At 53.3% G+C, this 25,492-nt stretch overlaps 2 protein-coding genes, 1 long non-coding RNA gene and 1 pseudogene across 29 annotated transcripts in view, besides 16 other annotated features; 3 read left to right on the top strand and 1 right to left on the bottom strand.

Annotated features, from left to right (window-relative positions):
• PI4KB (phosphatidylinositol 4-kinase beta) overlaps window positions 1–12,959 on the top strand; it is a 35,919-nt gene extending 22,960 nt beyond the window's left edge. For 7 of the 15 annotated variants that reach the window (NM_001369629.2, NM_001198775.3, NM_001198774.2 and 4 more), the window contains 7 exons: window positions 1,106–1,215; window positions 2,458–2,562; window positions 2,789–2,912; window positions 5,683–5,948; window positions 10,215–10,347; window positions 10,618–10,738; window positions 11,723–12,952. In NM_001369629.2, coding sequence (NP_001356558.1) covers window positions 1,106–1,215; window positions 2,458–2,562; window positions 2,789–2,912; window positions 5,683–5,948; window positions 10,215–10,347; window positions 10,618–10,738; window positions 11,723–11,904 — 1,041 coding nt within the window. In that variant the 3' untranslated portion in view covers window positions 11,905–12,952. Of the gene's footprint in view, window positions 1–1,105; window positions 1,216–2,457; window positions 2,563–2,788; window positions 2,913–5,682; window positions 5,949–10,214; window positions 10,348–10,617; window positions 10,739–11,293; window positions 11,357–11,722 lie in introns of all 15 variants that reach the window. The other 8 variants (NM_001369626.1, NM_001369628.1, XM_017001488.2 and 5 more) reach the window with 2 other exon arrangements.
• On the top strand, window positions 3,793–4,091 carry RN7SL444P (RNA, 7SL, cytoplasmic 444, pseudogene; annotated as a pseudogene).
• Window positions 8,251–9,233: an enhancer, noted in NCBI's record as "H3K27ac hESC enhancer chr1:151267999-151268981 (GRCh37/hg19 assembly coordinates)". NCBI's record gives its function as "activates a minimal SCP1, AML or CMV promoter by ChIP-STARR-seq in primed H9 embryonic stem cells {active_cell/tissue: H9 hESC(primed)}" and the evidence as "EXISTENCE:reporter gene assay evidence [ECO:0000049][PMID:30033119]".
• Window positions 9,234–10,218: an enhancer, noted in NCBI's record as "OCT4-NANOG-H3K27ac-H3K4me1 hESC enhancer chr1:151267014-151267998 (GRCh37/hg19 assembly coordinates)". NCBI's record gives its function as "activates a minimal SCP1, AML or CMV promoter by ChIP-STARR-seq in primed H9 embryonic stem cells {active_cell/tissue: H9 hESC(primed)}" and the evidence as "EXISTENCE:reporter gene assay evidence [ECO:0000049][PMID:30033119]".
• Window positions 9,409–9,703: a silencer, noted in NCBI's record as "tiled region #291; HepG2 Repressive non-DNase unmatched - State 17:Gen3'". NCBI's record gives its function as "represses a minimal TATA promoter and a strong SV40 promoter by Sharpr-MPRA in HepG2 cells {active_cell/tissue: HepG2}" and the evidence as "EXISTENCE:reporter gene assay evidence [ECO:0000049][PMID:27701403]".
• Window positions 10,219–11,202: an enhancer, noted in NCBI's record as "H3K27ac-H3K4me1 hESC enhancer chr1:151266030-151267013 (GRCh37/hg19 assembly coordinates)". NCBI's record gives its function as "activates a minimal SCP1, AML or CMV promoter by ChIP-STARR-seq in naive H9 embryonic stem cells {active_cell/tissue: H9 hESC(naive)}" and the evidence as "EXISTENCE:reporter gene assay evidence [ECO:0000049][PMID:30033119]".
• On the bottom strand, window positions 12,580–23,234 carry ZNF687 (zinc finger protein 687). Of its 13 annotated transcripts, XM_047426163.1 has the most exons (11): window positions 22,361–22,457; window positions 21,438–21,568; window positions 19,459–19,550; window positions 16,350–18,481; window positions 16,050–16,228; window positions 15,485–15,661; window positions 15,216–15,378; window positions 14,749–15,078; window positions 14,522–14,634; window positions 14,183–14,324; window positions 12,580–14,041 (listed from the first exon to the last, which is right to left on the bottom strand). In XM_047426163.1, exons 4-11 carry the CDS (start codon window positions 18,462–18,464, stop codon window positions 13,547–13,549), a joined length of 3,714 nt encoding a protein of 1,237 aa, XP_047282119.1. In that variant the 5' UTR covers window positions 18,465–18,481; window positions 19,459–19,550; window positions 21,438–21,568; window positions 22,361–22,457; the 3' UTR covers window positions 12,580–13,546. The 13 variants fall into 13 exon arrangements, with proteins under 13 accessions (XP_047282119.1, XP_011508114.1, NP_001291692.1 ...); XM_011509812.3 differs by lacking the exon at window positions 19,459–19,550; NM_001304763.2 differs by lacking the exon at window positions 21,438–21,568 and having other exon boundaries at window positions 18,682–19,550.
• Window positions 13,799–14,449: an enhancer, noted in NCBI's record as "H3K4me1 hESC enhancer chr1:151262783-151263433 (GRCh37/hg19 assembly coordinates)". NCBI's record gives its function as "activates a minimal SCP1, AML or CMV promoter by ChIP-STARR-seq in naive H9 embryonic stem cells {active_cell/tissue: H9 hESC(naive)}" and the evidence as "EXISTENCE:reporter gene assay evidence [ECO:0000049][PMID:30033119]".
• Window positions 14,450–15,099: an enhancer, noted in NCBI's record as "H3K4me1 hESC enhancer chr1:151262133-151262782 (GRCh37/hg19 assembly coordinates)". NCBI's record gives its function as "activates a minimal SCP1, AML or CMV promoter by ChIP-STARR-seq in naive H9 embryonic stem cells {active_cell/tissue: H9 hESC(naive)}" and the evidence as "EXISTENCE:reporter gene assay evidence [ECO:0000049][PMID:30033119]".
• Window positions 15,100–15,751: an enhancer, noted in NCBI's record as "H3K4me1 hESC enhancer chr1:151261481-151262132 (GRCh37/hg19 assembly coordinates)". NCBI's record gives its function as "activates a minimal SCP1, AML or CMV promoter by ChIP-STARR-seq in naive H9 embryonic stem cells {active_cell/tissue: H9 hESC(naive)}" and the evidence as "EXISTENCE:reporter gene assay evidence [ECO:0000049][PMID:30033119]".
• Window positions 21,346–21,415: an enhancer, noted in NCBI's record as "active region_1717". NCBI's record gives its function as "activates an Ori minimal core promoter by ATAC-STARR-seq in GM12878 lymphoblastoid cells {active_cell/tissue: GM12878}" and the evidence as "EXISTENCE:reporter gene assay evidence [ECO:0000049][PMID:35858748]".
• Window positions 21,724–22,609: an enhancer, noted in NCBI's record as "NANOG-H3K27ac-H3K4me1 hESC enhancer chr1:151254623-151255508 (GRCh37/hg19 assembly coordinates)". NCBI's record gives its function as "activates a minimal SCP1, AML or CMV promoter by ChIP-STARR-seq in primed H9 embryonic stem cells {active_cell/tissue: H9 hESC(primed)}" and the evidence as "EXISTENCE:reporter gene assay evidence [ECO:0000049][PMID:30033119]".
• Window positions 21,836–21,995: a silencer, noted in NCBI's record as "silent region_1318". NCBI's record gives its function as "represses an Ori minimal core promoter by ATAC-STARR-seq in GM12878 lymphoblastoid cells {active_cell/tissue: GM12878}" and the evidence as "EXISTENCE:reporter gene assay evidence [ECO:0000049][PMID:35858748]".
• Window positions 22,276–22,555: a silencer, noted in NCBI's record as "silent region_1317". NCBI's record gives its function as "represses an Ori minimal core promoter by ATAC-STARR-seq in GM12878 lymphoblastoid cells {active_cell/tissue: GM12878}" and the evidence as "EXISTENCE:reporter gene assay evidence [ECO:0000049][PMID:35858748]".
• Window positions 22,610–23,494: an enhancer, noted in NCBI's record as "NANOG-H3K27ac-H3K4me1 hESC enhancer chr1:151253738-151254622 (GRCh37/hg19 assembly coordinates)". NCBI's record gives its function as "activates a minimal SCP1, AML or CMV promoter by ChIP-STARR-seq in primed H9 embryonic stem cells {active_cell/tissue: H9 hESC(primed)}" and the evidence as "EXISTENCE:reporter gene assay evidence [ECO:0000049][PMID:30033119]".
• Window positions 22,610–23,577: a biological region, named in NCBI's record as "NANOG-H3K27ac-H3K4me1 hESC enhancer GRCh37_chr1:151253738-151254622".
• Window positions 22,656–22,885: an enhancer, noted in NCBI's record as "active region_1716". NCBI's record gives its function as "activates an Ori minimal core promoter by ATAC-STARR-seq in GM12878 lymphoblastoid cells {active_cell/tissue: GM12878}" and the evidence as "EXISTENCE:reporter gene assay evidence [ECO:0000049][PMID:35858748]".
• ZNF687-AS1 (ZNF687 antisense RNA 1) lies at window positions 22,827–24,732 on the top strand. The gene is made up of 2 exons (NR_135595.1): window positions 22,827–23,213; window positions 24,498–24,732. It is a non-coding gene; the product is annotated as a ZNF687 antisense RNA 1 (long non-coding RNA).
• Window positions 22,916–23,115: an enhancer, noted in NCBI's record as "active region_1715". NCBI's record gives its function as "activates an Ori minimal core promoter by ATAC-STARR-seq in GM12878 lymphoblastoid cells {active_cell/tissue: GM12878}" and the evidence as "EXISTENCE:reporter gene assay evidence [ECO:0000049][PMID:35858748]".
• Window positions 23,237–23,577: a silencer, noted in NCBI's record as "fragment chr1:151253655-151253995 (GRCh37/hg19 assembly coordinates)". NCBI's record gives its function as "represses an EF-1alpha promoter that drives an FKBP-Casp9 reporter gene in an ReSE screen in HepG2 liver carcinoma cells {active_cell/tissue: HepG2}" and the evidence as "EXISTENCE:reporter gene assay evidence [ECO:0000049][PMID:32094911]".

Raw genomic sequence — 25,492 nt, 5'->3', positions numbered from 1 at the left:
TGAACCTGGGAGGCGGAGGCTGCAGGGAGCTGAGATCACAGCACTGCACTCCAGCCTGGGTGACAGAGTGAGACTCTGTCTTAAAACAAAACAAAACAAAAACACAGCCAGGGCCAGGCGCGGTGGCTCACGCCTGCAATCCCAGCACTTCGGGAGGCTGAGGTGGGCAGATCACCTGAGGTCAGGAGTTCAAGAACAGCCTGACTAACATGGTGAAACCCCGTTCCTACTAAAAATACAAAAAATTAGCCAGGCATGGTGGCGCGCGCCTGTAATCCCAGCTACTCAGAAGGCTGAGGCAGGAGAATCGCTTGAACCTGGGAGGCGGAGGTCGCAGTGAGCCGAGATCACACCATTGCACTCCAGCGTGGGCAACAAGAGCGAAACTCCGTCTAAAAAAAAAAAAAAAAAACACACAGCCAGGTTTCACTTTGCCAAAAGGCAGAATCTCTGTCTTTGAGCTTATAGTCCAATTGCAGAAATTAGACATTTAAGAAAAAAAAATTTAGATATACAACAAAGCAGTGTGTACTAGGTGACAAATGGAGTTGAGAAGAAATGCTCTGGTATGAAGGACAGAAGAGACTTGACATGGGCCTTGGGGTCTGGTAGAATATTCTGTATTTAGAGAGAGATGAGAAGATAAGATTGAATGACTTAGATTGAAGAAACTGTCAGAAGCTAGTCTGCAAAGAGTCTGCTTTGGACCCTAGGGGAGAACGCATCCCTATCCTTGGGGGACTCTCAGTGAGGCTGAAATTTTGAGCTCCTGTAATGGTCATGGCAGTGGTTTGCAAACTTTAGTGCATTGGAAGTCTTCTGGAGAACTTGTTAAAAATTCAGACTTTCAGATCCCATTCCTAGTAATTATAATTCAGATTGATGGTGGGGCCTGGGAATCTGCATTCTGGGTAATTCTACTGCAGGTAGTTCACATGTTGAGAAATGCTGCTCTGGGCAGCCTGGGGTCCCAGTAACCAACATGGTGTGTAAGCAGAGTTTGAAAGAGAGGGATGAGCATGCTGCAGTGATAGCAAGCAAGCAGGAGGGGAAAGACGGGAGACCTATACTTTAGCACTTCTGACCAGCACTCCCCTTTCTCCAGCTCCCCGAAGTGCATACCAACAGCTGTGACAACATCTCCCAGTTCTCTGTGGACAGCATCACCAGCCAGGAGAGCAAGGAGCCTGTGTTCATTGCAGCAGGGGACATCCGGTATGGCCAGATCACATTGCCCCTCATTTTTCATCCCTCTTTCAGGAACTTCCCATCTCTTTGTTACCTTCCTCTCCATCTCAATCATCTGTTGTTGGCCTGTGTCTTTCCCTCTTTCATTCTGTCCTTGTTTGGGGCCACCAAACTTGAGGCAATGAAGGTGTAGGTTGAGAAATTACTTGGGCTACCAAAGAAGGAAATTAAATTTTAAAAAGACTCCAAAGGGATGAAAGCACCAGAGGGGCCGGGCATAGTGGCTCACACCTGTAACCCCATCACTTTGGGAGGCCGAGGCGGGCAGATCACGAGGTCAGGAGATCGAGACCATCCTGGCTAACACGGTGAAACTCCGTCTCTATTAAAAATACAAAAAAATTAGCCAGGCGTGGTGGCGGATGCCTGTAGTCCCAGCTACTTGGGAGGCTGAGGCAGGAGAATGACGTGAACCCGGGAGGCGGAGCTTGCAGTGAGCCGAGATCGCACCACTGCACTCCAGCCTGGGCGACAGAACGAGACTCCGTCTCAAAAAAAAAAAAAAAAAAAAACAAGAAAGCACCAGAGGAAGGAGTTTGAGCAGTGTGTCTCAAGGTGGGGTCTCAAAGCGACTGTGTCAGAATCCAGGGGGAGGAAGGAGGACTTGTTGAAAATGCAGATTCTAGGCTGGGTGCGGTGGCTCACGCCTGTAATCCCAACACTTTGGGAGGCTGAGGCGGGTAGATCATAAGGTCAGGAGATCGAGACCATCCTGGCTAACACGATGAAACCCCATCTCTACCAAAAAAATACAAAAAAAAAATTAGCTGGGCGTGGTGGTGGGCGCCTGTAGTCCCAGCTACTCGGGAGGCTGAGGCAGGAGAATGGCGTGGACCCAGGAGGCGGAGCTTGCAGTGAGCCGAGATCTCGCCACTGCACTCCAGCCTGGGAGACACAGCGAGATTCTTATCTCAAAAAAAAAAAAAAAAAGAAAAGAAAAGAAAAATGCAAATTCTAGAGACACACCCATTCTGAATCAGCCTTGGTAGAGGAATATGGAGGGCCTGGTAATCTTAATTTTAACATGATTACAATCAGTTAGCAAAAAGGTGTCATTGGTTATGTTTTCTTCCATGAGTCCCTTTCAGCCTGGGTTCCTATCTTTGTGTGTCCAGAATCCAGGAGACAGTGCAGGAAATGTCAGTATAGACTGGGCATGGGGCTTGGGGGTAGCTTCTCCAAGCAAATGATGTATTTTCTTCCTGCCAGCCGGCGCCTTTCGGAACAGCTGGCTCATACCCCGACAGCCTTCAAACGAGACCCAGAAGATCCTTCTGCAGTTGCTCTCAAAGAGCCCTGGCAGGAGAAAGTACGGTGAGTTGGGTGTGGGTCTCTGAACCCCTCTCAAAGCTCAGAGGCAGTTGTAAGTGCTCACTGCACCAACTTTATTGTCCATCAGCCTCCAAAAAAATCTGTCAGGCTTCCAGGCTGTCTGGGTCCTTGCCCTATGGGGCGTTTGCTTGGGATTTTTTGTGGAAGCCATGTCTCTTGTCCTCACCCTGGCATCAACCTTTGACACCCTTTACTTCTGTCTTCACAGGCGGATCAGAGAGGGCTCCCCCTACGGCCATCTCCCCAATTGGCGGCTCCTGTCAGTCATTGTCAAGTGTGGGGATGACCTTCGGCAAGAGCTTCTGGCCTTTCAGGTGTTGAAGCAACTGCAGGTAAGAGAAGAGAAGGAGAGGCCAGGCACAGTGGCTGTAATCCCAGCACTCTGGGAGGCCGAGGCGGGTGGATTACAAAGTCGGGAGTTCAAGATCAGCCTGGCCAAGATGGTGAAACCCTGTCTCTACTAAAAATACAAAAATTATGGCCGGGTGTGGTGGTTCATGCCTGTAATCCCAGCACTTTGGGAGGCCGAGGCGGGTGGATCACGAGGTCAGGAGATCGAGACCATCCTGGCTAACACGGTGAAACCCTGTCTCCACTAAAAATACAAAAAATTAGCCGGGTGTGGTGGCGGGCGCCTGTAGTCCCAGCTACTCCGGAGGCTGAGGCAGGAGAATGGCGTGAGCCCGGGAGGCGGAGCTTGCAGTGAGCGGAGATTGCACCACTGCACTCCAGCCTGGGCGACAGAACGAGACTCCGTCTCAAAAAAAAAAAAATAAAAATAAAAATACAAAAATTAGCTGGGTGCAGTGATGGGCACCTGTAATCCCAGCTACTTGGGAGGCTGAGGCAGGAGAATAGCTTGAACCCAGGAGGCAGAGGTTGCAGTGAGCTGAGATTGTGCCACTGCAGTCTAGCCTGGGCGACAGAGCAAGACTCTGTCTCAAAAAAAAAGGAGAGAAAGGGAAACTCAGCCCAACTCCAGCCAACCGGAGGTGACTACACAGATTATTCTGCCGGGGACCACCTTCCTGCCAAGGTCTAAAACAAAAGCAGAGTAAAGAGAAGCTAGTGCAACTTTCCCCTGGGAAGAACAGCCATAGGAACAGCTCCACAGCGGCCTCTTTTGGCCCTTTTGTGACCTGCACCTGTCCTGTTCCAAGTCTGAACTTTAGAGTGCTAGGTTTGCCTTTTAGATCAAAACTTCCAAAATGTCCTGGCACCCTGGCATGGGCCTGTAGTCTCAGCTAGTCAGGAGGCTGAGGTGGGAGGATGTCTTGAGCCCAGGAGTTCTGGGCTGCAGTCCACTATGCCAATTGGGTGTCCGCGCTAAGTTCGGCATCAATATGGTGACCTCCTAGGAATAGGGGACCATCAGGTTGCCTAAGGGAGGGGTGAACTGGCCCAGGTCGGAAATGGAGCAGGTCAGAACTCCCGTGCTCATCAGTAACAGGATCGAGACTGTGAATAGCCACTGCACTCCAGCCTGAGCAACATAGCAAGACCCTGTCTCTGAGAAAAATATGCATTTGAAGAAATCAGCGTTTTTTTTTCCTTATTTTATTTTTTTTGAGATGGAGTTCTGCTCTTGTTTCCCAGGCTGGAGTGCAATGGCGCAATCTCGGCTCACCACAACCTCCGCCTCCCAGGTTCAAGCGATTCTCCTGCCTCAGCCTTCCCAAGTAGCTGGGATTATAGGCATGCGCCACCACGCCCGGCTAATTTTGTATTTTTAGTAGAGATAGGGTTTCTCCATGTGAGCCAGGCTGGTCTCGAACTCCCGACCTCAGGTGATCCGCCCACCTCCACCTCCCAAAGTGCTGGAATTACAGGCATGAGCCACCGCTCCTGGCTGAAGAAATCAGCATTTCTAACTGAAGTGAGCCAAAAAGAAAATTTTGCGGAGGCAAAGTTTAGTGACCCACCTTTTCCTAGTGTTAAGTGTGTGCTAAGGCACATGGAAGACCAATTTATTTATACAAGGCACTGAGATTTTTTCAAGAAATAGCTGTCAAATCTCAAGGTGAAGATCTAAATGTGAACAGTTTACTAATGCACTACTGAAGTTTAAATCTGTGGCACAATCATTGTAAACATGGGGTTCATTTCTCTAAATTGATTTCTAATCTGAAATTACTGGAAAACTTCCTTGCCCGTTTTTGCCAAACTCAATTTTTGGTTTTTGGCATATATCCATTATTCAAACTTAATGCCTCTAATTTTAATGCCAACACAATTGGTTGTAATCAAATTTTTAAATAATAATAATTTGGTCCTCCCCCCTTTAAAAAACAACATAAAAACTTCCCAAATTGGTCTGTAGCAGGTAGGTTATAGTGTGCTGAAATATTGATCTTCTGATACCCCTGGGTTGGTCACCTGCAAGCCACTTAATTGTTTAATACTGTTCTTTATACCATATAAATATTTTCATTTTCCAGAGAAGTCTTCTCTGGACCTAAATCCTTTCCTTTTTTCTTTTTTTTCGTCGGAGAGAGTCTCGCTCTGTCGCCCAGGCTGGAGTGCAGTGGTGCAATCTTGGCTCACTGCAACCTCCACCTCCTGGGTTCAAGCGATTCTCCTGCCTTAGCCTCCTGAGTAACTGGGATTACAGGCATACACCACCACGCCTGGCTAATTTCTGTATTTTTAGTAAAGACGAGGTTTCACTCTCTACTGAGGTTGGCCAGGCTGGTCTTGAACTCCTGACCTCAGGTGATCCGCCCTCCTTGGTCTCCCAGAGTGCTGGGATTACAAGCATAAGCCACCGCACCTGGCCTCTTTTTTCTTATTATTTGAACTTACAGCTCCCATTCTCCCTGCTTGAGAGGGGATAGTGAAGTTTCCTGTTCTCCCTGCCTGTCTTGGGCTTTCTACTTAGGTGATACCTTTTCCCACATACCTGAGTGTAGTTTCTGACTTTGTCAGGCCCTAGACTTCCTTTCCAAACTCCCTGGTCCTCACTGGGTTAAGTGAGTCTTACTCATTTGATGGCTTAGAATTCAATGCTACCAAGGAGAGAGGCTGGAGAAAGGGAAGAGTTTTAGCCTTCTTCTCTAGTTTGGAGAAAGATAAGAGTCCTGTATCCTCCATGTCTCCTCACAGTCCATTTGGGAACAGGAGCGAGTGCCCCTTTGGATCAAGCCATACAAGATTCTTGTGATTTCGGCTGATAGTGGCATGATTGAACCAGTGGTCAATGCTGTGTCCATCCATCAGGTGAAGAAACAGTCACAGCTCTCCTTGCTCGATTACTTCCTACAGGAGCACGGCAGTTACACCACTGAGGCATTCCTCAGTGCACAGCGCAATTTTGTGCAAAGTTGTGCTGGGTACTGCTTGGTCTGCTACCTGCTGCAAGTCAAGGACAGGTAGGTGACTTCTGCTGCTCATCCTAACATTTCTCCAGGGTTCTCTCTGTCCCTTCGTGTGTAGTTCTCAATTACTTATTACTGCCCTCCATGGCAAAGATGTGAAAAATGAAACAATGTATTTTAAGCAGAGACAGATGTGTTCCCATGACATTAAGTCAGGAGGCAGACTAATAAGAACTAGGGTAAAAGGGCAAAGAAATGAAGGATTTATGGGAGGACTAAGGGTTTGAGTGAGCAGGGTCTTCAAGGACAAGGGAAAATGATGACAGAGGAAGCTGCAGGGGAGGTACATCCCAGCTAGAAGAAATAATTGAATGTGATTAAAGCACAGACTGCACTGCATGGCAGTGGAGTAGGAGGTGGTACCATGAGGCAGGTAAATTGAGGCCAGTTGAAGAAGGGCCTTCATTGTGAAGCTTAGGTGTTTTATTTTGCAGGCAGAGGAATGACATGATCCAGTCTGTGTTGATTAAATGCCCTGTGGCACTGTGGGTGAAGGTGGATGTAATTGGGTGTTTAGCAACAAAGCAAGAGATAATAGGGCCTGGCACTAAGGGTAGTGGTTAGTGACTGAGAGCAGAAAGGAGAAACATGATGGAGATGAAGTGGAAACTCTCAGCCATGAACTCTCCTCACTTCTTATTCCAGCATATGATTTCCACAGCTTTTAAGTATCTGTTGTTTTGCCCAGAGCTGTCATTTTTTTTCAATATGACATGACCTTGATGAAAACTAACTACACATATAGGTGAGGCACATAATGTACAAAAATAATTACACCATCTAGGCCCTGCCTTCTAAGAGTATCTCCCAACAGTGACCCAGGGTCTCTGCCCTGAATGCTCCTATGAGTTCCAGCTCTAGACCCTCGGCACAGGGCAGCTGTCCTGGAAAGGTGGAAATGCAATGGCCAGTGCTGCTGGGGCTTCCAGTAACATGGTGGCCCATTAAGATCTAGCTAATAATGGCTGGGTGTGGTGGCTCATGCCTATAATCCCAGTACTTTGGGAGGCTGACACGGGTGGATCACCTGAGGTCAGGAGTTTGAAACCAGCCTGGCCAACATGGTGAAACCCCATCTCTACTAAAATACAAAAAGAAAATTAGCTGGGCCTGGTGGCAGGCGCCTAATCCCAGCTATTTGGGAGGCTGAGCAGGAGAATCACTTGAACCCGGGAGGCAGAGGTTGCAGTGGGCCAAGATGGCACCATTGCACTCCAGACTGGACGACAAGGGTGAAATTCCAACTCAAAAAAAAAAAAAAATTTATATATATACATACACATACATACATACATTAGCTGGGCTTGGTGATGCACACCTGTAATCCCAGCTACTCGGGAGGTAAGGCAGGAGAATTGCTTGAACCCAGGAGGTGGAGATTGCAGTGAGCCAAGATCATGCCACAGTACTTTAGTCTGGGCAACAAAGCGAGTCTCAAAAAAAAAAAAAAAAAATCTAGCCAACAAGGCCGAGGCAGGAGGATCGCTTGAGCCCAGGAGTTCGAGACTAGCCTAGGCAACATAGTTAGATCCCGTCTCTACAAAAAATAAAAATTAGCCAAGCATGGTGGTATACAGCTGTGGTCCCAGCTACTTTGGAGGCTGAGGTGGGAGGATCACTTGAGCAGGAGGTTAAGGGCAACAGAGTGAGACCCTGTCTAAACAAAACAAAACAACTAGCTAGCTAGCTAGCTAACAGAGCAGCTTATTAGAAATGTAGCATCTAGGCTGGATGCAGTGGCTCACGCCTGTAATCCCAACACTTTGGGAGCCTGAGGCAGGTGAATCACCTGAGGTCAGTAGTTCAAGACCAGCCTGACCAACATGGCAAAACCCCATATCTACTAAAAATACCAAAAATTCACCAGGCGTGGTGGCGCATGCCTGTAATCCCAGCCACTCAGGAGGCTGAGGCAGGACAATTGCTGGAACCCGGGAGGTGGAGGTTGCAGTGAGATGAGATCGCGCGACTGCACACCAGCCTGGGTGACACTGAGACTCCATCTCAAAAAAAAAAATAAAAATTAGTCTTAGGCTGGGTGTGGTGGCTCACGCCTGTAATCCCAGCACTTTGGGAGGCCGAGGTGGGCAAATCGCCTGAGGTCAGGAGTTTGAGACCAGCATGACCAACACGGTGAAACCCCATCTCTACTAAAAATAAAAAATTAGCTGGGTGTGGTGGCGGGCGCCTGTATTCCCAGCTACTTGGGAGGCTGAGGCAGGAGAATCACTTGAACCCAGGAGGCAGAAGTTGCAGTGAGCCAAGATCGCACCATTGCACACCAGCCTGGGTGACAGAGTGAGACTTCATCTCAAAAAAAAAAAAAAGAAATCTAGCATCTATTAAGTTCTGCCATGGCCTGACATTCTTATATTTAAACCAGATGAAAACCCTGTCAGACACGTGTTTCCTCATGAGGGAAATAACAGTCAGGTAGCTTTTAGACCCTGTGCTCATTCCACCCTGCGCTCATTCCACCCTGCCAGCCCTACAAATGGACCCAGGCTCTGCATTTGAGAGCTGTAGGAGAATGTAATATTTTTGTGTGTGTGTGTGAGACAGAGTCTTGCTCTGTTGTCCAGGCTGGAGTGCAGTGGCGTGATCTCGGCTCACTGTAACCTCTGCCTCCCAGAGTTCAAGTGATTCTCCCACCTCAGCCTCCTGATTAGCTGGGATTACAGGCATGCGCCACCACGCCCAGCTAATTTTTGTATTTTTAGTAGAGACGGGGTTTCACCATCTTGGCCAGGCTGGTCTCAAACTCCTGACCTCAGGTGATCCTCCTGCCTCAGCCTCCCAAAGTGCTGGGATTACAGGCGTGAGCCACTGCATCCGGCCGAGAATGCAATTATTTATAAGGAATTTGATTGCAAGCTTCAGACTATCTCAAAGTGTCAGGATTTTGAACTCAGGGCCCAGGGAGCCTAGAGCTCAGTCCTGGGATTGAGTAAATGGGTGGCAGGGAAGCTGGCACTAGTCAGGCCCCAGGGCTTTCCTTTAGGGAATTAGTATGTTTGGAAGATGAGAGTCCATCCTCTAAAAAAGAAGGGATAGAGGAGGGCAGGTAGCTGATAAGCCGTTCATAGTACCTCAAAAAAGAATAGATATAGTCGAGCCATGAATGGAATCAACCAATGGAAAGAAGTGGCAACAATGAATGAGGCCCCATACTGGAGTCAGGTTTTAGGATCTCTTTAACTGCTTCAAAAGTAGTCCTAAGCAGCTTTCCAGCTGGAGCTAACTCTGGTAGTGAAAAGAGAGGCTATGGCACCTTGGGCAAGTAAATCACTTCCTCTCTCAGGGCCTCTGTTTTCTTCACCTGTAAAATGTGAGGTTGAACCATGACAACTCCTAGAACCATTCTGGCTCACAAGATTGTGCCTGGATTGCTAAATCTTTAGTGTTTTCCCTGAGTGGGGAAGAACTCAGGTTGGACTAGGTTCTCCTTTTGTCCCTCCTCTTTTGGCCAAACCAACCCCAGAGAAGGTGGCCCTCAGACCATCAGCTCTTAGCCTAACAAAGCCTCTATTGACACTGAGTAGGCCAGTTATGCTGAATAGGCCAGGCCTCACATGCTTAGCATGTTAATTGTTCCTTCTGCTACTGGCCATTCATGTGGGAATCACAAAGACCTGGGATTTATCTCCCTTTAACTCTTCTACAGCTGCCCTGTAGTACTGCCTCATCCTGAGACTTTTTAAGTAAGTGATTTAAAACTTACCCCTTGAAGCCCCCACGCTATTTTACATTTCAGCTCCACTCAGCCTGCTTGCTTCTGTTGTTGTTCCCTTCCAGTGAGGCCTCTGATCTGCAGTGGGCTGACAGGAGTTACAAATAACCCACAGGTAAACAGGCTCAGAATAGAGCCTCCCCTGAGTAGAGCGCTTGGCCTCTGTGACAGCTGGCTGGAGCCTCAGAGGCCCTCTTTCCTTGCTTCTGGATTCTCTACTAGATTGGGATAGTTTGGGTGCCAGAAGTGCAATTTCTGGGAAATTGGGAGAATCTTAAACTATTTTTATTAAATTATTAATAGCAATTTCAGACCCCATAGCCTTTGTTAGCAGTTTTCTGATTTCCTTTCTTTCCACTGATAGCTTTAGGTCCTAGGAAACTGGACAGGAGATTGGAGTTACGGGCAGCAGGAAACATGGCAGGGGACCCCCCTCCCTGGTGTCATGTGGCCAGTGTATTGCTGCTTAAGGTTCCAGCCTCAGTCAGACTGACTACTGCCTCTTCCTCTCCTCTATTCCCCCTCCTCAGACACAATGGGAATATCCTTTTGGACGCAGAAGGCCACATCATCCACATCGACTTTGGCTTCATCCTCTCCAGCTCACCCCGAAATCTGGGCTTTGAGACGTCAGCCTTTAAGCTGACCACAGAGTTTGTGGATGTGAGTCAAGAAGGAGAGGTGCCTCTCGGGGGTCATTGTATTCTTTCTCTGTCATGGGAGAGGGAGCTGATGGGCTCCCTGCAAATTAGGGATGAACAGAACAGGCAGTAATTAGGGGTGAGGCAGGAGTTCCTGGGAGCTTCCTGCCCAATAAGGAAGGGGGAAATAACAGGGCCCCAAGAGGAGGAGGAGTTCTGGTAGGCCAGTCAGGACAGGGACCATCCCCGGTGTAAGACCCCTTGTGCACACAACGCTCTCTTCCCTTTCCAGGTGATGGGCGGCCTGGATGGCGACATGTTCAACTACTATAAGATGCTGATGCTGCAAGGGCTGATTGCCGCTCGGAAACACATGGACAAGGTGGTGCAGATCGTGGAGATCATGCAGCAAGGTGGGGCTGGGGTGAGGTCAGGTGCTATAGTGCCTCAGGCTTCCCCTTTAAGTCGGAGCCCTGGAGCATAAGAAAGCTGATCCCACGAGACTCGGTTGAGGGAGGGGGGTTCCCAGAGAGTTTCTAGCTCTGGTCCAGTGCCTTGTTTCTCCTTTAGGACATTCCTCCTGACCCTGGTAAGGCTAAGTCCAGAAGGCTGGGGAAGGGGATAGCAGCACCTGCCTCCTTGGCATCTTTAGGGAGAAAACAGGCCCATTTACAGCCTCCTGGTCCCTTCTCACCTCCCCACCCCTGTCCAGCTCTGAGTTTCTCAGTCTCCTTCCATCTGTCTTCTCCATTCCACTATGACCTCTGATTGCCCTGTCCTCTGCCACCCTTCAGCTCTGAGAAGTATTTCCCCTCTCATCATTATCTCCTTCCACTACAGTCTTGCCATCTACAGTCTTTTGCCCAGGACCCCCTTCTGTCCTCATCCCCCTCCTCAAGGCTCCAGGTGTATACCAGGTCTGAACTGCCAGTCTCCCCCTCCTCCCCATTCCTGCCCCTACCCCACAGGTTGTCGCCGTTGCTCAGGATCATCCCCATCTGGCCCCATGATGACGGTGGCCCAGGTCATCTGTGAGTGTCAGACGTAGCATAGGCAGAGGTCTGCAACCAGATAAGTGCCCAGCTCAGGGCCCACTCCCTCCAGCCTCCTCCCAGCCTGCCCTCTGGGCCCCTCCACCCTTACTGAGGGAGATGTGGTGTTGGTCCCCTTCCTTCCTCTGCCCACATGCCCTCACCTACAGAAGGGCTTAGGCGTGGGGTGATGAGGGGTTCCTGCCGGTTCCTTCTCTCTGCCCAAGCAGAACTGCACCCACATCATCAAGGACCTGAGGTGGGAGGAAAAGGGCACTTCAGATGCCCCAGCTCTGTATTTGCTATGGCTGACACCACTGCCCCTCCCGTCCATCCATGACCCTGAACTCCGACTGCTTCCCCCAGGTTCTCAGCTTCCTTGCTTCCATGGCTCCAGCACCATTCGAAACCTCAAAGAGAGGTTCCACATGAGCATGACTGAGGAGCAGCTGCAGCTGCTGGTGGAGCAGATGGTGGATGGCAGTATGCGGTCTATCACCACCAAACTCTATGACGGCTTCCAGTACCTCACCAACGGCATCATGTGACACGCTCCTCAGCCCAGGAGTGGTGGGGGGTCCAGGGCACCCTCCCTAGAGGGCCCTTGTCTGAGAAACCCCAAACCAGGAAACCCCACCTACCCAACCATCCACCCAAGGGAAATGGAAGGCAAGAAACACGAAGGATCATGTGGTAACTGCGAGAGCTTGCTGAGGGGTGGGAGAGCCAGCTGTGGGGTCCAGACTTGTTGGGGCTTCCCTGCCCCTCCTGGTCTGTGTCAGTATTACCACCAGACTGACTCCAGGACTCACTGCCCTCCAGAAAACAGAGGTGACAAATGTGAGGGACACTGGGGCCTTTCTTCTCCTTGTAGGGGTCTCTCAGAGGTTCTTTCCACAGGCCATCCTCTTATTCCGTTCTGGGGCCCAGGAAGTGGGGAAGAGTAGGTTCTCGGTACTTAGGACTTGATCCTGTGGTTGGCCACTGGCCATGCTGCTGCCCAGCTCTACCCCTCCCAGGGACCTACCCCTCCCAGGGACCGACCCCTGGCCCAAGCTCCCCTTGCTGGCGGGCGCTGCGTGGGCCCTGCACTTGCTGAGGTTCCCCATCATGGGCAAGGAAGGGAATTCCCACAGCCCTCCAGTGTACTGAGGGTACTGGCCTAGCCATGTGGAATTCCCTACCCTGACTCCTTCCCCAAACCCAGGGAAAAGAGCTCTCAATTTTTTATTTTTAATTTTTGTTTGAAATAAAGTCCTTAGTTAGCCACTTGTGTCATTTCCAGGTTTTCTGGGGGAGTGCAGGGGGAGATGGGTGATGAGGTATGAACGGATGCCTCAGTGTCCAAGATACAAAAGGCACTACATAGAAGTTTGCTTTTTCCCTGCCTGTCTTGGTCACTACCACCTCTTCCCTGAGAAGGGCGGGCCTTCCATGTTCTCTCACCCGCTTCAACTCCACATTGTCCAAGTCACAGAAAAAGAGAGGCCTGAATGGAGATTCGACCACAAACAGTTTTAATGGTCTGGTTTTCTCCCTAGTTCCCCAACTGTTTGTTAGTATTATTATTACTACAAGAATAAAGGATTCCTGAGAGCCTGTCCCCTCCTCTCCTGTGGCCCCCTTGACAGGACTCATCCCTACCAACCCCCCACCCCCCCGCCCCGGATTTCTGGGGAAAAAAAGAAGTGAAAGGCACTGCAGGGGTAGGGGGCTTGAGTGCCAGTGAGTTGGGGTTGGGCGGGGGCGGGGGCGGGGGTGGGCACTAGGGCAGGGCCCGGCCTAGAGGAGGAAAGTTCCAGTCCATGCCTGAAGGAATTGTGGAGAGGTGTGTCCATCCATGACACCCCCATCAGTCCTTCCCTGAACCTGTCTAGCAGGCATACCTAAGTCCCATCCTCCCACCCCCAGGCCCACACTGGGGGTTCTGCAGCAGGAGCATAAAATTAATTAGTGTTGGGCTCAGAAAGGAGGAATGGAGGGTCCACTCTACTAGGACTCCAGGGCCAAACCCAAAGGGAGGTTGCAAATAACTAGAATAATCCTCAAATGCTCTTCTTCTTCAGGTTGGAGAGACAGGAATTAACAAAATATTAATGTTAATGAAAACTCCCCAGCCGAGGGATCAGGCAGCAGTAGGGAAAACCAGGCTCCAAGAGGAAGGGGCTGGTCAGTCCCAGGCCTTGGAGACTAGTTGTCCCCAACAGCCCCCTGCCGAGCCCTGATGAACGCCATGCCATGCGTGCGGAAGTGGGTCTTGAGGTTTAGAGGGCTGTCGCAGCTCTTGCCACAGACCTTACAGGTCAGTGGGCCTCCAGAAGCAGGCAGGGGTGAGTCTCCACCATCGGGGTCAGACCTTGATGGAGGGGCCTCTTCCTCCCCATCCCCCAGCCCCAGGGCACTGGCTTTACCCACACCCCGTCTCTTCTTGTGGCTGATGAAACGGTGTCGGCTCAGGGAGCCAGGGGAGGCAAAGCACAAGCCACAGTCGAGGCACTGCTGGGCACCATCCTCCACCCTCAACCCCATCATGAGGCTCTGTTCTGTGGAGCTGCTGCTCCGGTAGCGCAGAGGGCCATGGCCTCCAGATCCAGGTCCGCCCCTGGGGGACTTGGCTGGCGGTGTCGTGCTGTCAGGCTCCTCACTGCAAGAGTCAGAAGACTGGCGGCGTTTCCGACCTGGCCCCTGAAGAAAAGTGGAAGAAACTGGGCCTTACCACCACCCCTACTGTCCCTGGCACCCCCATGCTCGCTTCCTGAGGCCATGGTCTCTGCCTTCCAGTTTCCCACTCAAAGCCCTAGCACAGCAGGCCGGGCCTCTGCCTACCTGGGCTCTGGCACTGGAACCCCGAGCCAAGGTGGTCCCCCGGCCAGGGGACTGGGCCCCAAGCTGCAAGCCGTGCCGGACCTGGACATGTTTCTCTAGGATCAGGCGGCTGCTGAAGGTGCGTTTTCCCTCTGTGCAATACCTGAAATGGGAGAGGACAGGATGGCAGCAGCGGCACAGCCCGAAGGCCAGGGCCCTTGCTTCTGAGGAGGGGGCTGCCAGAGCAGAGGGAGACCCCAACCATCAGGCCACTTAGACACGTCGCAGGTGCACAGGTACTTTGGCATACAGGGAGAGTCACGTGCTGGGCAGGAAGAGGAAGCGGGGAGCAAGACTTACCTGCAGGGGTAAACTCGCTTGATGCCCTCGTGATTAACTCTGACATGGCGCCTCAGGCTGGGGGCGGAGCAGAAGGAGCGCTCACACAGGCGACAGGGGAACTTTTTCACTGACTAGGAGAGCAGGGGTAGATGTCAGAGCCAGGCTCCAGGACCCCGTCCCCACTGTCACACTGGCAGTCCCAATGCTGCCCCCAGCCCATGGTACTCCCCTTGGGGCCCACTCACCTTGCCATGCTCCTTCTTCATGTGGGCCACGTATTCATCACGCTCAGGGAACCAGGAGTGACACAGGCCACAGGTCCAGCCTCCAGGCCCCCCACCCCCACCCTTGAGGCCTTTGCTCCCTAGTTCCCGCCGAGGCCGTTTGGCTGGACGGGGGGGCTCAGGGGAGCTGGGTACTTCCTCCTCTTCTGAAGATGAAGACGACTCCTCAGTAGCAGGGGCTGCCCCTCCCTGAGAAACAGCCAGCTCCTCAGGCTCAGTCTTGGGGGTCAGCAGGGCACCCCCGGCCCCTTTCCCAGCAGTCTCCTCCAAGCGCCCAGACTGATGGGTGTTCTGTGAGAGGAGACAAGGGAGGTTGCTGTTGTGGGGGAGGGCCTGGCTATGCCAAAGCCCCCCACTTCTGAAGTATGTGGCCCCAGCCCCAGGTCAGTACAGCTAAGCACCCATTCCCCATCCCTCTGCTCCTGTACCTTGAGATGTTCCAGCATGGTCCTTTTTTGGGCAAAGAGCAGAGGACAAGACGGGCACTTAAAGACACTGACACGCTGGGGCAGCAAGTGCTGGTCGAAGTGTGAGGAGAGGAGGGGTTTGTGAGTGAAGACTGTGTCGCACATGGCGCACTTGTAGATCAGCCTGAAGTGAGGACAGTGCAGACATCAGGCAGGGTTGGGTGCAGCCCCTCCCCTCCTGCGCCCCACCAGCCCTCCCTGGCCCAGCCCGGCCCTCCCCCGGGCCTCACTTGGCCTGCTGAGTTTGGAAGCTGGGATGCTGGGAGTAGAGGTGGGCATGGGCACTTGGCCCAGACTTGAAGGCCATGGGGCAGATGGGGCACTTGTGGAAAACCTCGCAGTGCGACGTCTGGATGTGGGACTTGATGGAGTTCACACCCCCAAACACCACTGAACAGCTGGGGCACCTAGGGAGGAAGCAGGAGGCCCTGTGGTGAGGTGGGAGGCATCTCCATGCCCACCCCGGGACCATACATTTATTCTCTGGGACTGGGTAGACTACAAGAAGGAAATCAGTAGTGGAGCATGAGCAGGGTGGAGAAAGGAGAGAGGTGCAGAGGCTGTGCCCCAAGGGAGGCTGCCAAGGGAGAGCTGGAGCTCCAGAGGTGGCCCTGCTTCCCCCCATCTCCATGGGGGACGACGGGAAGGCAGGACGTACTATCTCAGGGTTGAGTCTGGCAAAACAACAGGGCTGAGGGATATAGCAGGGAAGATAGGGGATCTTGAAAGGCCATCTGAGGCTGAGGCTAGGACACACGAAACCCTACAGTTCTATGGAGGAAGGGTCCGAGGCACCTGTATCCTACACGGCGAGAGACGTGCAGACAGGCCTCCCGGAGATGGGTCTGAAAATTGGCTTGCAGGAAGTTGCCCCCACACTCAGGACAGACATGGGGGGGTCGATTCTTATGCATGCGCTGGTGGGCGCTGAAGCTGCAGCGATTGGGGAGCATCATGGGGCAGGTTGGGCACACCTGTCGAGTGGGTTAAACAAGGAAAGTCGGTGAGGAGTGTCCTGTCTCCATTACTTCTAACCAAGCCCCCAACGCCTTCCTAGATCCTGTCCCCACAGAAGGGCTGTGAAAGGTGACTCACATTGCTGGTGGCCCCAGGGGCAGGGGGGCCGAGCTGCTGGAAGTGAGCTGCCATGCCAGCCTTGTCCCGGCACTGTTCCTTGCACTCCAGGCAGCGAAAGCATGTGTAAGCAGAGGTGGCCGGGGCAGCAGGCGGCTCTGTGGAGAGCGGCAGGACAGGGGCCTCAGCAGCAACTGTAGTAATGGCAGAGGAGGTGATGGCCCCCTCACCCTTGCCCAAGGCAGGCAAGGCCAGAGGTCCAGAGACAGGTGGGACAGCTACAGGCAGCAGCGGTGTGATGTCCGGCTGCCCCACCATCTGGTCAAGGGCTACAGGCCTCATGACCAAATGTGAGCACTGCATGACGAGCCCCTTGTCCTTGTGTTCACGTGCATGCAGGAGCAGGCTGCACTTGTTGAAGAAGACCAGGCGGCGGGCGCAGTGGTTGCAGGTGACCTCGATGCGCATGCTCCGACGGTCATAGTGCCGTGCCAGGCTCTTCTCCAATGAGAAGGCATCCCCACACTCCAGGCAGCGGTAGCCGGTGGGAGGCAGGGCCAGCCCAGCCTCAGCTGGTGGGCTCAGGTTTGGCCTATAGGCAGGGAGCAGGTTCTTGCTGTTGAGGATCTTGTTGAAGGCCTCCACCAGGCTGGACTGGGTCCGTGATATCACTGTGCCGCCCCCTGTACTTGGCCCAGTAGCTGTCTTTGAAGGTTGCACCATCACCACCGAGGCACCATTCACCTTCTGTCCCCCAGTCCCCAGCCCTGCCCGCCCGTCAGCCTTAGGCAGGGCTTGGGGCACCAGGCCTAGCACGTTCTTAGCAATCATCTTAGGGCTGGTGGCAGTCCCCCCAGGCAGCACCACAGCCTTGCGAGCCACACTGGCTGCCATCAGCATGGCAGTACTGGCGTTCTGGATGGTGGCCACAGGCAGCACAGTGCCTTTCAGCCTTGTACCATCACCCAACTGTACGCTCACCACCTTTGGACCCTCAGAAGTAGGTGTTGCAGGGGACAGCTTCAAGAGGCTAGCCTCAGCCAAGAAGGCCCCCTCAGCCAAGGGGGCAGGTGGATCAGGATCTGAGGGGACCTGAGTTACAGTCCTTGTGATATTCCCGCAGGATGTTTTAATGGTCTTGATCCGCACCTTAAGAGGCCTAGAGGAGCTGGAGGCAGGGGAGTCATTGCTGTCCTCATCTGCAGCCTCGGCCCCACTAGAGGGACTCTGGGGACTTCCTGGGGAAGACTTGTCCACTGGCCCCTCATCATCATCTTCTTCCTTCAAGGGCTGACAGACGGGCACTTTGGGGGAGGCAAGAGGGCTCTGGTGCCCTGGAGACTGCTTGAAGAAGGGCACCCCAGCAACTGGGGGAGGCGAGGCACTGGCAGGGATGTCCGTGGCCTTAGGGCTGGAGCCTGAGCCTTGTTGGGCTAGGACCTGGGGATGATGGGGGCTGCAGCTCTCCTGCTTCAAGGCCCCCAATGGTGGGGAAGAAACAGGTGGCTGCATGCCTGGGCCATTCTCCTGGGCCAGCTCAAAGGAAGAGGGGAAAGGAGGCGGGGTCAGAGCCCCCTCCCGAGTGGGAGAGGGTGCAGAGGGAGGCAGCGGATCTGAGTGGTCCCCTGGCTCAGGGCCAAAATGAGCAAACAGGTCCAAGGGAGTTTTGCCTTCCATGCCTTTTTCTTTCCAGGTGCCCCCACTGGGAGGAGCAGGAGAGTGGGGAGTTCCTGGGAGGGAAGGTTCAGGGCTCCCAAAACCATTCTGCATTCGATGAGGCCCCACAGGCCCTTCTTTAGTTACCCCAGCAGCCTGGGCCCCGTCTCCTGCTGAGCCTCCAGCCAGGGCCTCAGACTGCTCGGGACACACAGTGTTCTTGACAATGACACTGACTACAGAAATGTCTGGCGGTGGCAGGCCATGGTCAGAGGCCTGGGCTGGAACTCCAGGGCCATCCCCAGCAGAGGCTGCTGCTGTGTCTTCAGATTCACTTCCTACACCTGGTTCTGGCTTCCCTGGGCCTCCAGGCCCCTCATTTTCTTCTGGCCCAGAATGGATGGCTTCATTCGCATCAATGTCAGGGATGTCAAAGGCAGCAAGGAGGTCATCAAAATCAGGGGTCTTCATATCCCCCATATCGGCAGATCCCAGACCTGATGAAAACAGGAACGAGGAGGAGAAACTGAGATGTCTAGAAGAGAGATCCTGGAGCTCTTCCCTCAGCATCTCCATATTTATCCTCTCTCAGAACCCACATACACTCCAACTTAGGTACACCTCCGCCACGGCATGAATCCTACAGAGCTGCTAGGTTTGCCAAACCTTAAAATCAGAAGAGGATTAGTGTCCATACCTTGGTGGGCTCCAAAATCCAGAGAAAGCAGGGGAAAAGAGAGTTCTTAGAAATACAGGGAAGGGGCCAGGTGCGGTGGCTCATGCTTGTAATCCCAGCGTTTTGGGAGGCTGAGGCAGATGGATCACTTGAGGTCAGGAGTTTGAGACCAGCTTGGCCAACATGGTGAAACCTTGTCTCTACTAAAAATACAAAAAACTAGACAGGTGTGGTGGCACATGCCTGTAATCGCAGCTACAAAGGAGGCTGAGGCAGGAGAATCGCCTGAACCCATGAGGTTGAGGTTTCAATGAGCCAAGATCACGCCACTGCACTCCAGCCTGGACAGAGCGAGACCCTGTCTCAAAAAAAAGAAATATAGGGGGCTGGGCATGGTGGCTCACGCCTGTAATCCCAGCACTTGGGGAGGCAGAGGCGGGCGGATCACGAGGTCAGGAGATCAAGACCATCCTGGCCAAGATAGTGAAACCCCGTCTCTACTAAAAATACAAAAATTAGCTGGGCATGGCAGCACACACCTGTAGTCCCAGCTACTCGGGAGGCTGAGGCAGAAGAATTGCTTGAACCTGGGAGGTGGAGTTTGCAGTGAGCTGAGATCGTGCCACTGCACTCCCACCTGGGCGACAGAGCAAGACTGTCTCAGAAAAAAAAAAAAAATACAGGGAACAGGGAAGGGTAATAGAGCTCAGTGAGCATTCTGGTGGAAACCATCTCATCCCCTCCGGTCCCCAGCATAGAACCAAATAATCAATACTATTATTAAGGAGGATGATGTACATGATGTTCTAGGTTTAAGGACTCATTCATGTCCGCATGGAATCAATTCATATTCTTCACGGATCTTCTGGGGTCCACACAGATCTGAAAGGCTGCATGTACAAAGGGACAATGCCATAAGCCAAGACTTAAGAAATGATCCTCGTTCAGCTTTATCAGGGGCGTGCAGTACAAGCAAGTTTCTTCAGTGCCTTACTTTTGCTGTTTGAAAGAGGACACAAATGGCCGGGTGTGGTGGCTCACATCTGTAATCCCAGCACTTTGGGAGGCCAATCACTTGGGCCCAGGAGTTCAAGACCACCCTGGGCAACATGGTGAAACTCCCCAGGCATGATGGCACGTGCCTGTAGTCCCAGCTATGCCTCCCAGCTGACATGGGAGGATCCCCTGAGCCCGGGAGGTCGAGGCTGTGATGGGCCATGATCATGCCACTGCACTCCAGCCTGGGTGACAGAGTGATACCGTCTCAAAAAAAAAAAAAAAAAAAAAAAAAAAGACAAGACAAGGCAGAGAGCACAAGTGATCTATGTATCATAGGGTTATTCTGAGCATAATACAAAATTGCTAATGTAAGAATCCCACCAAGAATACGATTTACTATTCCAGATGAACCAAGCAAGGACATGTCAGGTCAAGGAGGAACTGGAAAGGAATAAGCACTGGAACTCTAGGGCTGGGGTCGGAGGCAAGAGTCAGGGGTCATGCAGGATCAAGTCTAGGGCACCTGGGCCATCACTGGCACCTGGAGATCTAGCTTGGTCAGCAGGGAGAAAAGGACTCAAGGAAATTACCCAAGAGACCAAGATGGAAAGAATAAGACACAGGAACAGAAAGAGACAAAGAGAAGAGACAGAGGGGAAAATGGTGATGGCAGCCTGGTCACAAGGGCCCCAGCCTAGACCTCTCCTGTCACAAACACCTGCTGCTCGCTCACTACCTTCCCCAGAGTGCCTGGCCCTCCCCTAGCCAGCCCTTCCTTCTCCACCCCTCCCCATCTTGCTTTCCCGAGGCTAAAACTCCCAAGATACATACACATTTCTCCAGCACAGCTGCCACAGTGGGAAAAAGCCAGGCTCCCTCAACCCTCACCCATCATTTCTGCTCCAAGCTCCTCACCCCATTCCATCCCCTAACTTTAACTCCTCACCCTTTCCATTTTCCTGTGGCAACAGTAGCCCAGGAAGTTTCACCTAGCCTCAACCTGGCCAAGTGCAAAAAATAAAATTAAAAATCCCACAAGAATTATGTGGCACTAATCCAACAAGCAGGCCAGCTCAGAGTTTGTGGGAGACCCAGGTCTGTCCCCTACCAGTGTCTCCCCATGAGTGTTTCTGTATCTACGAAGAAGCAACTAAAGAGTCTATCCCTATCCATTCCCTGCCCAGGTTGCAGGCCATTTCCCAGCCAGCTCTCCCACCTCTCTCCAGTCTTCAGACTGTAACTAGAGACAGTCCCAGCAAGTGGCAGCTGGGATTGCTGGGACCAAGGTTGGGGTGGGGGCAAAACCAAAGGGGGAGTCCTCCCCTCACCCCCACCCTATTCAATTCTGCAGAATCTGGGTTTAAACAAAAACCCTTGTCTCTATAGGCCTGGCTCCTAAGCCTGGTTCCCTCCTGACCAGAGGCCTGAGCTACCTTCCACTCAGGTACTCAGAAAAGTGGACTGCTACAACGAAGACCAGCGGGGACTAGGAGAAAACACCTGCGAACTCACCCGCCCCCACACCCCGCCAGCCACCTCCCTCTTGGGTGCCCCAGTGACTTAGAGGTCATCCGATGGCCACCCACCCAGAGCAGACAGTCGACCAAGCAAGCCGCCAAGCTCAAGCCAAGGAGGATCAGGCCTTCCTGCGACTGCTGAGCCCTGTCTCTAGGGCTCCTATCTCCCCCGCCCCCTTTCCCTCTGTGGTTCCCCAAAAGCCAAAGAGGCTGAACAGGAAGAGGCTGAACAGGCCCAGGTCGAGTGGGGGCTCCACTGACCTTTGCCCGGGCCCAAGGCCTGCAGCGCAGAGGAGGGCGAGGGGCTGGCGGCGATTAGGTTGAGGCCAAGCTGGGTAGCAGACGGAATTAAGTCCCTGCCATCTGCCGAGGGCTGGCGCGGGGAGCAAGTCCTGGGTTTCGAGGAGGGGGCGGGGTGTACACATGAGAAACTACAAGGGAAACTGAGGCGCGCGGCCCTTCTCTCACTCGCACCGGCGTGCGAAGCGAAGGCCGGGCCTCAGCCAGGCCAGGCCCTTTGGGAGCTGCTGCGCAGCACCTGGGGACCCAGGACTACACAGGATAGGGTGGGGAGCTGGAAAGAGGGGAGGAGAGAGGGGACGGTCTCTGCGCGACTCTCAGCTCTCTAGCTGGGGTCCGTCCCAACTCGGACCTCGTCCCCTCCCCTCCGGGCGCAGCGGAGCCTCCTCCCGCCGCGCACTCCCGGAGGCTCGCTAGAGACTGGAGACTGATCGGGGGGTGCGCAGGGGGCCGGGGGCGCAAGCCTGAGTCTTGCCCGGGCCCGGACGCTGACCCGCACCCAGTCGGGGTGCAGGTTCTGCTCCGGCCTGGCCCAGGTCCCCCGCCCCCATCCCCGGGAACGGACACCATTTTAGGTCGCGACATCCCGCAGCCTTCAATCTCCGGGCCGCACTTCGGGTGCCTCTCGAGCCGGGGGCGCCAGGACCTGGGGTTCTCGACCCTCCTGGGGGTTTACCCGGCTACGGACTGTGCTTACAACAGGCCAGGAGTTTCGCCCATCCGCCCCAATGGATGGAGGCGGTGTCTGGGCCTTCCTAGAAGCCGCCCCAGGGGGCGGCGCGGAGAAGGGGGTAGTTGACCAAGTGGGGGAGGGGCGGGGGTATTTACCCGCCCCCCCCAAGGGGGCGGAGCCAAGGGCGGGTATTTACCCCAGGCACGCTTACTTGTTCCGCTCCTGGTGCGGGCCGAGACCCGGCGGTCTCTACCCCGCTCCAGCCGCTGCAGCCACCGCCGCCCTCCCCGCGGCCGCCGCTACTTCCTGCTTCTCTCCGGTTCGGCCTCCCCACTCCCTCTCCTCCCTCCGCGCTCCAGGTCTGGGCTGCCCGTTTTCGCACTCGCCATTGGCCCTTGCCCCCGTCGCTCAGCCCTGTGCCCCTTCCAGCCCCGCACTGGGTTGGCCCTAAATACTGCCGCTCGGAACTAGCCCCGCACAGTCCTCTTATGCTCATTGGGCAAGGGGCCGAGGCCCTCTGAAGATACCTCTCCCCATTGGCTGCGCCGGGGTCCGTCTGCCCCATCTACGAGTCTCGTAAACGATTGGCCTCCGCCACTGTCGCTTAGAAAGAAGCCAGCCTGCTTCCCAGCTTGCCTACTGGAAGGGGGAGCACCCAGGTGCGTCTCCGCCCCTCGCTCCCTACTGGCCGCTCGAAGCTTGAAGCTGCAGTTCACTTTCGCGAATGTAAGGAACCCAGCTTCTGTGTGGTGGGCACTGAGAGCAGAACCGCATTGAGTCGGAGTGGAGCACAGAAGTGTAGGTCCTTTTGCGCTGTTTCAAGCTAAACCCGTGTCACTGATGCCGTACAGAAGTTACAGAATGGGACGCCACCCCAAACATTACGTCATCCGCTGACCATTTCCTTGCGGTCTTCCCACCGTCTAAATCGCCATATAATCTGATGGATGGGGTCCTCGCGCGGTTCAGCTCCTGGGCGACAGCGTAACCCGTCGCTCCTCCCTCTGCGGGAGGGCGTGGACGGGGCACGGGATTTGGAGCATGGAAGGAATCGGGACCTAAAGGTTGGGAAGGGCTCGCGGACCGGAAGCGGGGGAGGTGACGTAGGAGTGCTGGCGTGGCCGGGCCATTTCCAAAGAGGCATTAAAGGAGCAACTGATAGGCGTCCTAAGTATGGGCTGGGGGGGGAACCGCCAGCTCCATTTCCCATTTAAGGGCTCCCCTTTTCCCCGCCCCCAGCATGGAGTGGGGGTGGGGTCAAGGTCGAGTTTTCCCGCGCTTTGTTGCCACGCCCCCTGGAGGCGGGGGAAAGGGAGGAGTCGCTCGGAAAATGAATCTCCTTGATGCTCTAATAGCACTCACTGGCAGAATTCGTATGCAAGCCCAGTGTGCCACCTCGCGCACGCAGCCGCTCGTTAACGGCGTGTTTTTATTTTTTAATTAATTTTTTTGAGGCAGAGCCTCACTCTGCTGCCCAGGCGGGAGCACAGTGGCGCGATCACGGCTGACTGCAGCCTCAACCTCCCAGGCTCCAGTGATCCTCCCGCCTCAGCCTCCTGAGTAGCTGGGACTACAAGTGAGCGCCAAATCGCCCTGCTAACTTTTTTATTTTTTGAAGAGACAGGGTTTTGCCATGTTGCCCAGGCTGGTCTCAAGCAATCCTACAGACGTGAGCCACTACTCCCTACCTTGGCGAAGTTTTTTATTTTTTATTTTTTGAAACGGGGCCTCATTCTGTCGTCCAGACTGGAGTGCAGTGGCGGGATCTCGGCTCACGGCAACCTCCGTCTCCCAGGCTCAAGCAATTCTCCTGCCTCAGCCTTCCGACCAGCTGGGATTACAGGTGTGCGACACTACCCGCCCGGCTAATTTTTGTTTTTTTCTTTTTTTTTTTTTTTTGAGACGGAGTCTCGCTGTGTCGCCCAGGCTGGAGTGCAGTGGCGCGATCTCGGCTCACTGCAAGCTCCGCCTCCCGGGTTCACGCCATTCTCCTGCCTCAGCCTCCCGAGTAGCTGGGACTGCAGGCGCTCTCCACAATGCCCGGCTAATTTTTTGTGTTTTTAGTAGAGACGGGGTTTCACCGTGTTAGCCAGGATAGTCTTGATCTCCTGACCTCGTGATCCGCCCGCCTCGGCCTCCCAAAGTGCTGGGATTACAGGCATGAGCCACCGCGGCCGGCCATTTTTGTATTTTTAGTAGAGACGGGGTTTCACCGCATTGGCCAGGCTGGTCTCGAACTCCTGACCTCAAATCATCCATCCGCCTTGGCCTCCCAAAGTGCTGGGATTACAGATGTGACCCACCGGGCCCGGCAAAGTTTTTAAAAGTGGTTTCGTTACCCTGCCCAGGAGTCCCAGGACACCGGAACCAGGACTCCCCGGCGCACCCGGAGAGTTTCCGAGCTCCTTTGAAGTATGAATCAGAACTTCTGGATGGGAATCCTGGAGCCACCACTTGCCCTATGGTCGCAATGGGCAAGTCGCTCAACCTCCCAGATCCTGTTTTCTCATGAGTAAAACGGGGATTATAATACCCACCTGACAATATTATTTTTGTGAGAATTAAATGAGTTTAGAATGTAAACACGCTTTGTAAAGTAATTGGCAGTTGGGATTAGTGTGCCCTTTCTCCCGGAGCCTTGCATCCTGTGCATTTGCTCAGGTGCTGTTCCTTCTCTGAGCAACTAATTAAAGGTCCCTAACCCGATGTAACCAACCGGCATTCCATTTCCACCTCCTCTTCTGGTCTCCCTATGCGGAATAACAATTACTACTCATATACACATAATATTTTGGGGGGCTCACGCCTGTAATCCCAGCACTTTGAGAAGTCTAGGTGGGTAGCTCACTTGAGCCCTGGAGTTCGAGACTAGCCTGTGCAACACAGCAGGACTCTGCCTCTACAGAATATTTGGAAAAAAAAATTAGCCAGGGGTGTTGGCAGGCACCTGTGATCCCAGCTACTGGGGAGGCTGGGATGGAAGGATCGCTTGAGTCCAGGAAGTCAAAACTACAGTGAGCCGGGATCGCACCACTGCACTCCAACCTGGGAGACAGAGCGAGACTCTGTCTCAAAAAAAAAAAAAAAAAAAACACACACACACAGAAAAACTTTATTTATTTTATTAATAAACATATTATTAATAACTCACGTAGTCCTTACCACAACCATGGAAGGAGGTACTATTTCAGGTACTGGAGATGTAGCAATGAACAAAGCAGACAAGAAGCCCTGTCATGAAACACACATTCCTAAAGAGAAGACAAACAATAAATATTAGAAATGGTAGCTGCCAAGGAATAAAATAGAGTTATCAAGCCATGCAAAGACAGAGGAATCTTCG

The sequence above is a fragment of the Homo sapiens genome, chromosome 1, assembly GCF_000001405.40.
Source record: "Homo sapiens chromosome 1, GRCh38.p14 Primary Assembly".
Lineage (NCBI taxonomy): Eukaryota > Metazoa > Chordata > Mammalia > Primates > Hominidae > Homo > Homo sapiens.
This window is presented reverse-complemented; position numbering and strand designations above follow the sequence as displayed.

Coding starts and splice junctions, on each gene's coding strand:
- ZNF687 (XM_047426162.1), bottom strand. CDS start 22,196: ATGGGCGAAACTCCTGGCCTGTT. Junction 21,569..22,173: donor GGCGAAACTCCTGGCCTGTT/GTAAGCACAGTC, acceptor CTCGAAACCCAG/GACTTGCTCCCCGCGCCAGC. Junction 14,635..14,748: donor TGAAGAAGGAGCATGGCAAG/GTGAGTGGGCCC, acceptor CTGCTCTCCTAG/TCAGTGAAAAAGTTCCCCTG.